Below are 12,120 nucleotides of genomic sequence, written 5' to 3' on the forward strand. Positions count from 1 at the left end.
GATTTAACGCTCTTTAGCAAAGGACTGATACATACATATACCATAAAACTCAGGTGTAGCTTCTTAGTGAGTTAAATGGACAAATCTTTAGTAGGAAATAAAAATACAGAATTTTCTAATCAGTTTCTTAAAGTCATATATATTTTTTAGTTTTTTTCCATAAAGGTAGCAAGTATTTCTAAAATTAATCTTTGCAGATGTTTTCCTATTATAACTTCTGCTGGAGAGGTGGTGATGGGACTCTGCTCCCAAAGACTCCACCTGAGCCAGGAAAAGAGAAGCTAAGAAAAGTCAACTGGCCTCTTTACACTGGTATGATAGCCAACTTGACACTAGGAGTTCCGAAATGTTACATAGCATCTAACTGCAGCAGAAAGTGTATCAGTATTTTTATAAGCTCACTAAAACTGTAGGAATGAATATAGACAATTCAGCTACATTTTATGAAGTTATAAAATTATTAGTTTGTATTGGATTTTCAAAAGTAGTATTTAGGACATATGTGGGCATTATTTACCATTAGATAACTTTAAAACCAAAAAAACCTGTTCTATAGTGTATCATTATAGAAATTGATAAATGAGAAAAGCTACATTTATTTTTCAAGCAGTAAATTTTTACAGAAAAATTTTTTATAAAGGTATTAAATGAATCATAATGGAAAGTACTATATTTTATTAGTTTTTATTTAGGAAATGGAACTTTCACTTTATCCCAATATTTTCTTCAGAGGTAGACTTTGTTTTTATTTCAATGAGTTCTTCCACTCGAGCTAGAACACTTTCAATCAAATCAAATGTGAAAAGAGCTGAATGCAGGACCTGCAATGCCAAGAAAAAGTAATGTTATTAATGCTGCCTTTAAAGCAAAACAAAGCAAAACACAGAAAAGATTTCAGCTGGAGGTAGCTTAGGAATATTTAAGACCAGGTACAGTGGTTTGCACCTGTAATTCCTGTGCTTTGGGAGGCTGAGCTGAGAGGATTACTAGAGGCCAGGAGTTGGAGACCAGCCTGAGCAACATAGTGAGACCCTATCTCTACTAAAAATTAGCCAGGCATGGTGGTGTGCACCTGCAGTCCTGGCTAATCAGGAATCTGAGGTGGGTGGATCACTTGAGCCCAGGGAGTTGAAGCTGCAGTGAGCCACAATCATGCCACTGCACTCCAGCTTGGGCAAGATAGCAAGACCCCGTTTCTAAAGAAGAAAAAGGAAAGAAAAGAAAATTTCAGATCACCTTAAGCTGCATTTCAGGAGGCATATTAGGGATCTCTTCTCCACTTACAGTTATAGAACAAAGATCTTTAGATTTCTGGGCCTCTGTAAGAGAAGAAAAATCATGTGTGACACTTAACTCTCAGATTTCAATAACAAAGGTATAAGCTACTTTCATTCACTAACTTAAAACATGTCAGTTATTTGTATAAATTATTAAGTCCATTGTTTAACAGCTCAGGGTATACTTAAGCTATAAGCAAACAGAATGAAATATCAAAATTCTGCAACATGTAAATTAATGCTTCTTTAGATAAATAGCATTATTTTGGCATGTATAGGATTCATGAAACTGTTTTCTTCAGTATATAATCAGAATTATAGCCATTATACTAAAAACAAAATTTCCGGTAATGCCTATAAAAGCACCACCACAGATATACGGAAGAGATCACACGATTATTATAGAATTATTGACTTAAAAAAATTCTGGATCTAAGATTCTTTTCATAATTTGTATGGATTTACTTGAGAGTGAGATGGAGAGTGGACCCAGCAATACCAAAGGAATGGTACCCAAACGGAAATAGCTGTAATACAGATTCTTAATCAGACCTTGAGGCTTTACAATGTAATATTTGGTTTAAGTCTTCATTAACCCGATTTTAGGTAAATTAGCTTATAGATCTGCTAAGAATTTTAACTATAAATAAAATGGCTTAGCTGTTATGGTCTCTAAAGTACAAGATTTTTAAAAAGTTCTTAAATTTGAATATGACAGTTCCAAAATTAGACTACTTTTTAGACCTAATTGAAAACAAAATTGCACATTACCAACCTTGGCTATTTTTAATTTCTGCTTCATAATGTGCTTTTGACATATTAAGTCCTATATGAAGTGGCTTTAAGAAATTATTCTCAATATTTCCAAGTTCTGTCCATAATCCAGTCTGTTAAGAATGAAAGAATGAGTTATTTAGTTCAACAATGATTGATTGCCTACTATTAAACGCGATAAAAGCTCAAAAAACAAAAATAAATGAAACATGGCCCTTGCTTTTCACAATGGACTTCACTATTTAATAATTATTACTATAGCTAGTTATGTGAATACCAATTAAAAGAAAAATGTACTTGGGGCACTACGCTTATCACTGCACCATTTGGATAGCTCCAGGTTTTGAGATCTATTAACTTGTTAAGTTTTATTTATGAGAAAATTATTTGAGGATAAATTCACAGACGTCTCTTCCTCTATGAGCCATCTCCACAATGACTCTACCTTATTTATGCCTTCATCCCAAGTATGGCCTTTCAATTGATATCCACACCACGGATCTAGTTCTAGAGGATGCTTTCCCTTTCCTACTGATGGAAACTTTTCTAATACCCGGCTAATTTGAACCTCCCTGGTGACCAAAGTAGGTGAAGATTTTATCTGTTGAGGGCAGCTTATTTTGTCATGTATCTTAGAGTTTATTCCAAGAGCATTTTCTCTTACAGTACTAATGGAGAGGACTCATGAAGTCTTTATTTTAAAAAATAGAGAAAAGAAAATCCATTGGTACTTCCAGTTTCCAAGTACTCTTTACAAAGGAAAATGTCTTAGGTCAAAAAGGGAAACGTAGGGACCCAATTTATTCTTAACTAGAATAATGAACTACTTGATAACCTATTTTGTAATGAGCTTATTTTGACCCAAGTAGTACATGTTACTTGCAGCATTCCAAATAAAATCTACACATGTCTATGCTGAATAATTGATAATATTAATGTCTCACACCTATCCTTTTCATTTCAGTCATCTTGTCTTATTTATCCTATACTAATAGGAAAAGTAGAATACTAGAGAGGATCTAAAACCCTCAAAAATATGCATACCTTTTCACTTAGCATCTATCAACTTATCTTGGGGAAATAAAGATGTATGTTATGATTCTACTGCAGATGTTTTTTAAAAATGTTTAGTGAAACATTAGAATTAAAATAACTCAACAGGAGATTCATAGTAAATTATGACATATTAACATAATGGAAAAACTATACAGCCATTAAAATACTGTTTTTCAGTACATATTGGTGAATGGGAAAAAAGGTTATAAAACAGTGTGATTCTTTTAGTATGATCTCATTTTCTTTTTAAAAAAGAAAAAATGTACAGACGTATTAACCCAAAACCTAGAAGGGAATACAGTATATCAACAACGGTGTAATTTTGATTACTATTCTTTTTTTTTTTTTTTTGCTTCTTTATGTTGATTTTTAAATAATGGATGTTTTAGTTGTATAATTTTTAAATTGTTAAGTGGAAAGTTTTCTTAACCTCTAATGGCAAATTTGGGTTATATGCAGCAGGAATTTCCTTAACCAGTGTAGCCACACAGTATAACAAGCATATTACTCTTATGTGCACTGACTGCTCTCATTTCTCCTATTTTTACCTCTCTCTATCCAGCCTTTTTCTTTTACTGATACATGATATTTTACATATTTATGGGTACATGTATTTGTTACACGTATAAAATGTATAATAATGTCAGAGTATTTGGGGTATCCATCCTCTTGAGTATTCATCATTTCTATGGGTTGGTAACATTTCCTGTCCTCTCTCCTAGCTACATTGAAATATACAATATATTGTTGCTAATTATAGTCACTGTAATGTGCTATCAAGCAATACAGCTTGTCTTTTATCTAACTCTTTTTGTACCCATTCACCAGTTGCTCTACATTTCCTCCTCCCATGCTCACACTCTGGTATCAATCAATCATTCTATATTCTGTATCCACGAGATCAAGTTTGTTAGCTCACACATGTGAGAATATGTGATACTGTCTTTCTGGGCCTGGCATATTTCAATGTAATGACATGTAGGTCCATCCACGTTGCTGCAAATAACAGGCTTTTATTCCTTTTTACGTCCAGCCTTTTCTTCACCATTTATTCCCTGCCCCCCAACTTTTTTTTTTTCTTTTTACTTTGCATTCACCTCTGGGTTTATAGGCAGAACCCACTGCAACTGATGGCTTTCAAGACTAGGTTACTGATGACTCTCTGTTACCCACTAAAGCACATTTGAACATAAAGAGTATAGGGAAAACACCTAGCTTTGACAAAAGGAAACCTTTGACAAAAGGAAACATTTTATCATATTTACTTTTAAAAAATAAATACTAGATATGGCTGAAATCCCCTTTATTCAAGAGGTAGCCATTATCTAAAACTTGAATGTTTTGCATTCCTAATGTATCACTTAAACAATATAATTTTTCATGTTTAAAAGCACATAAATGGTATACTGTATATAACCTGCTTCAGCTTCCTTTTTCTTTGTCAATCTTATGTTTTTGAGAGTTATTTGTGTTGTAGCTCTAATTTTAATTGGTGCATAAGCATTCCATTATATGGAATTTATCCTAAGTTTTTAGTATTTCAAAATAATGCAGCATTTACATTGCTGTATGTTTTCCCATTCACACGGGGTAAAAGTTTTTCTAGGATACTGTTTTTCAAATTATTTTTGCCATGACTCTCAGTAAAAACTAGGTTTTACATCACAACTCACACGTTTATTTATATAGTTGAAATAAAAGTTTTCCCTCAAATCCTTTCCATATAACACATTTAATCTTAATACTTTAATGTAGAAAAATGGAGAATAAACAATTCAAAAGTAAACATCAGAAAGATTTTTACATAATCAGTGTGCTTGCCTGTTCATGAGGTAATTTCAGTCTAATTCACTATTGAGCCTAGTTCTTTTCTTTTTATTATTTTTCAAAGTCAGGTTTGTTGAGATATTGTTTACATACAGTAAAATATAACCTTCTAGCTATACAATTCTGAGCTTTGACAAAGATATATAGTGATATAAAGTCATGTAACCACTGCTGCTGTAAAGATATTCCCATGACCCAGAAATTTCTTTGTGCCCCTTTGTAGTCAGTTTCCTCCCACCTCCAGCAACCAGCAATCTGATTTTTGTTAAGGTAATTTTTGCCTTTTCCAGAATGCCATAAGTGGAATTAAAACTCTTTGTGGCAGAAATTGACAAAATTCTAAAATTTATACAGAAAAGGTAAAGGATTTAAAAATAGCCAATACAATTTTGAAAAAGAAGAACAAAGTTGGCAGACTCACATTACTTGAGGTCAAGACTTCCTATAAAGGAATAAAACAGAATAATTTCTTCCTATAAAGGAATCAAGACAGTGTGGTATTGGTAAAAGAATAGATACAGGTAAATGGAATAGAGTCCAAAAATAGACCCATACTTATAAAATGATTTTTGATAAAGTTGCCAAGATAATTCAGTAAATTAAGGATAACCTTTTCTACAAATAGTGTTGAGGTCAAAATAAAAGAAAAAAAAATCTCTCAACCCATATCTCATATCATAAAAAGTTTACTTGAAATGGGGTCATTGACCTAAGTGTAAAACCTAAAACTATACAATTTCTACAAGAAATTACCTTTGTGATCTGGGTTAACAAAGACTTCTTAGAACCCATAAATAATGAATCATAAAAGAATAAAATTGATAAGTTGGACTCCATAAATATTAAAATTTCTGTTCTTTGAAAAATACTATTAAAACACAAGCCACAGACTGGAATATTTGCAAAAATATAACCAAAGAATTTGTATCCATGAAAAACTTTCCTCTTGTAGAAGTTCTAAGTTGAAAATTTTTTTCTTTCATCCTTTCAGTTTTACTTTGTAATGGAAATTCTTTTAAATCTGATTCCCAAAACTTTTTTTTTTTTTTTTAAGATGGTGTCTTCTTGCTCTGTTGCCCAGGCTGGAGTGCAGAGGCATGATCTGAGCTCACTGCAGCCTCCACCTACTGGGTTCAAGCAATTCTCCTGCCTCAGCCTCCAGAGTAGCTGGGATTATAAGCGTCTGCCACCATGCCCAGCTAATTTTTTTGTAGTTTTAGTAGAGATGGGGTTTCGCCATGTTGGACTGGCTGGTCTCTAACTCCTAACCTCAGGTGATCTGCCCGCCTCAGCCTCCCAAAGTGCTGGGATTACAGTGATAAAGTTTTATAATCATTCATTGGTACAAATATACAATTAAGCTTCACTAATTCTCTTCAGCCAAAAATTTTAACCAAATTACTAAATCAGGACTTTAAAAAGCAAATGTATCTCTAACCAAACGTTTTCTTTTAATGTTTCAAATTTCTCAAATGGAAATAATCACATATTAATAAAGAGTACTGGCCCAGCGCAGTAGCTCATGCCTGTAATCCCAGATGGGAGGATCACCTGAGTACAGGAGGTTGTTATTGCAATGTGCCGTGATTGCGCCACTGCACTCCAGCCTGGGCTATAGAGTGAGACCCCAACTCAAAAGGAAAAAAAAATTAATATAAATTTAAATAGTCACATGTGTCTACTGTCTACTGTATTGGACAGTGCAAATCTAGATCTTTGAATGTTAAAACCTTAGCTGTTTTCAATGGCAATAGCCCATAATCATAAAACTTCAGGTAATAAAAACACATGCCAAAAGTAGCCTAAAGAAATTTTTTACATATTCTGTTCAGCATAATTCCACAAATTTTTCAGATGATAAACTGTAATATTTTTAGAAGCATGTAGGAGTGAAGAAGCTGTGAGAATAAGAATATTTTTTCTCTCAAGGTTACCAGATCGTTTTTAAAGAAATAATAAATACTACAAAGAAAATCACATTTTAAGATTTCTTAAAATCTTTCAGTGTCTAGAAAAAGTAAATTAAGAGTTTTAAAATAGTTATAATTAAAAATTTGAAATGTTCACAAATACCTGCTTTTAATTTCATACCCAAGGAGGCTTACTGATTTCCAGTTCTAAGGCTTAAAACTATACATTTCAAAATTCACTGTAGCATATCTCTCTCACAAAAGGAAGACTAGGCAGTTCTACACTACAATGAAATTTATTGCCAGAACAGTCAGGAACCCTGCAAAGAATACAGTCAGTGATGGTAATGAAGAAATAAAAAGCCATGAACAAGACCCAGGTTTCCCCTTTCTTCTAATTCATATAGAAGTCATCCGGCTCTGCAAATATTTCATGGATATGTTTTATCTTAGAGAAAGAAACAACTTACACAATATGCCCCTGTACCAAACCTGCACCCCTGAATCTTAAATAGAAATGGAAATTGAAAAAAAACTTAAGCTCTAGATTCCTCCTCTCTCTGGGCAGGGCATCTCTGAAAGAAAGGCAGCAGCTCCAGTCAGGGGCTTATAGATAAAACTTCCATCTCCCTGGGACAGAGCACCTTGGGGAAAGGGTGGCTGTGGGTGCAGCTTCAGCAGACAAACATTCCTGCCTGCCAGCTCTGAAGAGAGCAGCAGATCTCTCAGCACAGCGCTTGAGCTCTGCTAAGGGACAGACTGCTTCCTCAAATGGGTCCCTGACCCCTCGTGCTTCCTGATAGGGAGACACCTCCCAGCAGGGGTCAACAGCCACCTCATACAGGAGAGCTCCGGCTGGCATCTGGCGGGTGCCCCTCTGGGATGAAGCTTCCAGAGGAAGGAGCAGGCAGCAATCTTTGCTGTTCTGCAGCCTCCAATGGTGATACCCGGGCAAACAGGGTCTGGAGTGGACCCCCAGCAAACTGCAGCAGACCTGCAGAAGAGGGGCCTGACTGTTAGAAGGAAAACTAACAAACACAAAGCAATAGCATTAACGTCAACAAAAAGGATGACCCAAGCAAAAACTCCACCCAAAGGTCACCAACAGCAAAGACCAAAGGTAGAAATCCACGAAGACGAGGAAAAAGCAGCGGAAAAGGGCTGAAAATTCCAAGCACACGAACACCTCTTCTCCAAAGGATCACAACTCCTTGCCAGCAAGGGAACAAAACTGGACAGAGAATGAGTTTGATGAACTGACAGAAGTAGGCTTCAGAAGTTGAGTAATAACAAACTCCTCCAAGCTAAAGGAGCATGTTCTAACCCAATGCAAGGAGCTAAGAACCTTGATAAAAGGTTAGAGTAATTGCCAACTAGAATAAGCAGTTTAGAGAAGAACATAAATGACCTGATGGAGCTGAAAAACACAGCACAAGAACTTCGTGAAGCATATGCAAGTATCAATAGCTGAATCGATCAAGTGGAAGAAAGAATATCAGAGATTGAAGATCAACTTAATGAAATAAAGTGTGAAGACAAGATTAGAGAAAAAAAGAATGAAAAGGAATGAACAAAGCTTCCAAGAAATATGGGACTATGTGAAAAGACCAAACCTATGTTTGACTGGTGTACCTGAAAGTGATGGGGACAATGGAACCAAGGTGGAAAACACACTTCAGGGTATTATCCAGGAGAACTTCCCAACCTAGGAAGACAGGCCAACAGTCAAATTCAGAAAATACAGAGAACACCACAAAGATACTCCTCGGGAAGAGCAACCCCAAGACACATAATCATCAGATTCACCAAGGTTGAAATGAAGGAAAAAATGTTAAGTGCAGCCAGAGAGAAAGGCTGGGTTACCCACAACGGGAAGCCCATCAGACTAACAGCGGTTCTCTCTGCAGAAACCCTAGAAGCCAGAAGACAGTGGGGGCCAATATCTTAAAAAAAAGAATTTTCAACCCAGAATTTCATATCCAGCCAGATTAAGCTTCATAAGTGAAGGAGAAATAAAATCCTTTACAGACAAGGAAATGCTGAGAGATTTTTGTCACCACCAGGCCTGCCTTACAAGAGCTCCTGAAGGAAGCACTAAATATGGAAAGGAAAAACCAGTACCAGCTACTGCAAGAACAACCCAAAATGTAAAGACCATCGACACTATGAAGAAACTGCATAACTAATTGGCAAAATAACCAGCTAGCATAATGACAGGATCAAATTCACAGATAACGATATTAACTTTAAATGTAAATGGGCTAAATGCCCCAATTAAAAAGCACAGACTGGCAAATTGAATAAAGAGTCAAGACCCATCAGTGTGCTGTATTCAGGAGACCCATCTCATGTGAAAAGACACACATAGGCTCAAAATAAAGGGATGAAGGATTATTTACCAAGCAAACGGAAAGAAAAAAAAAAAGCAGAGGTTGCAGTCCTAGTGTCTGATAAAACAGACTTTAAACCATCAAAGATCAAAAAAGACAAAGAAGGGCATTACATAATGGTAAAGGGATCAATGCAACAAGAAGAGCTAACTATCTTAAATATATATAAAGCCAATACAGAAACACCCAGATTCATAAAGCAAGCTCTTAGAGACCTACAGAGACTTAGACTCCCACACAATAATAGTGGGAGACTTTAAGACTCCACTGTCAATATCAGACAGATCAACAAGACAGAAAATTAACAACGATATTCAGGATTTCAACTCAGCTCTGGACCAAGCAGACCTAACAGACATCTACAGAACTCTCCACCCCAAATCAACAGAAGATACATTCTTCTCAGCACCACACAGCACTTATTCTAAAATTGACCACATAATTGGAAGTAAAACACTCCCTCCTCAGCAAATGCAAAAGAACAGAAATTGTAACAAACTGTCTCTTAGACCACAGTGCAATCAAAGTAGAACTCAGGATTAAGAAACTCACTCAAAACCACAGAACTACATGGAAACTGAACAACCTGCTCCTGAATGACTACTGGGTAAATAACGAAATTAAGGCAGAAATAAATAAGTTCTTTGCAACCAATGGGAACAAAGACACAACATACCAGAATCTCTTGGACACAGCTAAAGCAGTGTTTAGAGGGAAATTTTTAGCACTAAATGCCCAAAGGAGAAAGTGGGAAAGATCTAAAATCGACGACCTAACATCACAATTAAAAGAAATAGAGAGGCAAAAGCAAACAAATTCAAAAGCTAGCAGAAGACAAGAAACAACTAAGATCAGAGCACAACTGGAGATAGAGACGCAAAAAACCCTTCAAAAAAAATCAGTGAATCCAGAAGCTGCTTTTTTGAAAAGACTAACAAAACAGACCACTAGCCAGACTAATAAAGAGAGAAGAATCAAATAGACACAATAAAAATTGATAAAGGGTATATCACCACTGATCCCACAGAAATACAAACTACCATCAGAGAATACTATAAACACCTCTATGCAAATTAACTAGAAAATCTAGAAAAAAAATGGATAAATTCCTGGACATACACACCCTCCCAAGACTAAACCAGGAAGAAGTCGAATCCCTGAATAGACCAATAATAAGTTCTGAAATTGAGGCAGTAATTAATAGCCTACAATAAAAAAAAAAGCCCAGGACCAGACAGATTCACAGCCGCATTCTACCAGAGGTACAAAGAGGAGGTGGTACCATTCCTTCTGAAACTTTTCCAAACAATAGAAAAAGAGGGACTCCTCCCTAACTCATTTTATGAGGCCAGCATCATCCTGATACCAAAACCTGGCAGAGACACAACAAAAAAAAGAAAATTTCAGGCCAATATCCCTGATGAACATCAATGCAAAAATCCTTAATAAAATACTGGCAAACCAAATATAGCAGCACATCAAAAAGCTTATCCACCATGATCAAGTTGGCTTCATCCCTGTGATTCAAGGCTGGTTCAACATACACAAATCAATAAACGTAATCCATTCCATAAACAGAACCAATGACAAAAACCACATGATTATCTCAACAGATGCAGAAAAGGCCTTGGATAAAATTCAACAGCCCTTCATGCTAAAAACTCTCAATAAACTAGGTATTGATGGAACGTATCTCAAAATAATAAGAGCTATTTATGACAAACCCACAGCCAATATCATACTGAATGGGCAAAAACTGGAAGCATTCCCTTTGAAAACTGGCACAAGACAGGGATGCCCTCTCTCACCACTCCTATTCAACATAGTATTGGAAGTTCTGCTCAGGGCAATCAGGCAAGAGAAAGAAATAAAGCGTATTCAAATAGGAAGAAAGGAGGTCAAATTGTCTCTGTTTGCAGATAACGTGATTGTATATTTAGAAAACCCCATCATCCCAGTGCAAAATCTCCTTAAGCTGATAAGCAACTTTGGCAAAGTCTCAGGATACAAAATCAATGTGCAAAAATCACAAGCATTCCTATACACCAATAATAAACAGAGAGCCAAATCATGAGTGAACTCCCATTCACAATTGCTACAAAGAGAATAAAATACCTAAGAATCCAACTTGCAAGGGATGTGAAAGACCTCTTCAAGGAGAACTACAAACCACCACTCAAAGAAATAAGAGAGGACACAAATGGAAAAACATTCCATGCTCATCGGTAGGAAGAATCAATATTGTGAAAATGGCCATACCGCCCAAAGTAATTTATAGATTCAATGCTATCCCCATCAAGCTACCACTGACTTTCTTCACAAAATTAGAAAAAACTACTTTAAATTTCATATAGAACCAAAAAGTGTCCGGATAGCCAGGACAATCCTAAGCAAAAAGAACAAAGCTGGAGGCATCATGCTACCTGACTTCAAACTATACTACAGGGCTAAAGTAACCAAGACAGCATGGTACTGGTACCAAAACAGATACATAGATCAATGGAACAGAACAGAGGCCTCAGAAATAACGCCACACATCTACAACCATCTGATCTTTGACAAACCTGACAAAAACAAGAAATGGGGAAAGGATTCCCTATTTAATAAATGGTGCTGGGAAAACTGGCTAGCCATATGCAGAAAACTGAAATTGGACTCCTTCCTTACCCCCTATACAAAAATTAACTTGACATGGATTAAAGACTTAAACATAAAATCTAAAACCATAAAAACCCAAAACCATAAAAACCCTAGAAGAAAACCTAGGCAATACCATTCAGGACATAGACATGGGCAAAGACTTCATGACTAAAACACCAAAAGAAATGGCAACAAAAGCCAAAATGGACAAATGGGATCTAATTAAACTAAAGAGCTTCTGCACAA

General features: G+C 35.8%; 1 protein-coding gene across 13 annotated transcripts in view; it reads right to left on the bottom strand.

Annotated features, from left to right (window-relative positions):
• The window catches only part of GLMN (glomulin, FKBP associated protein), a 124,443-nt gene continuing 112,899 nt past the window's right edge, over nt 577–12,120 (bottom strand). For all 13 annotated transcript variants that reach the window (NR_135089.2, XM_011540546.3, XM_047442822.1 and 10 more), the window contains 3 exons: nt 2,053–2,164; nt 1,237–1,319; nt 577–821 (listed from right to left, as the gene is read on the bottom strand). Coding sequence is in view for 12 of the 13 variants with exons in the window: in XM_011540546.3 (XP_011538848.1) it covers nt 705–821; nt 1,237–1,319; nt 2,053–2,164 (312 nt within the window). In the remaining variant the exon portion in view is untranslated. The remainder of the gene's footprint in view (nt 822–1,236; nt 1,320–2,052; nt 2,165–12,120) is intronic.

The sequence above is a fragment of the Homo sapiens genome, chromosome 1 (genome assembly GCF_000001405.40).
Source record: "Homo sapiens chromosome 1, GRCh38.p14 Primary Assembly".
Classification (NCBI taxonomy): Eukaryota; Metazoa; Chordata; class Mammalia; order Primates; family Hominidae; genus Homo; species Homo sapiens.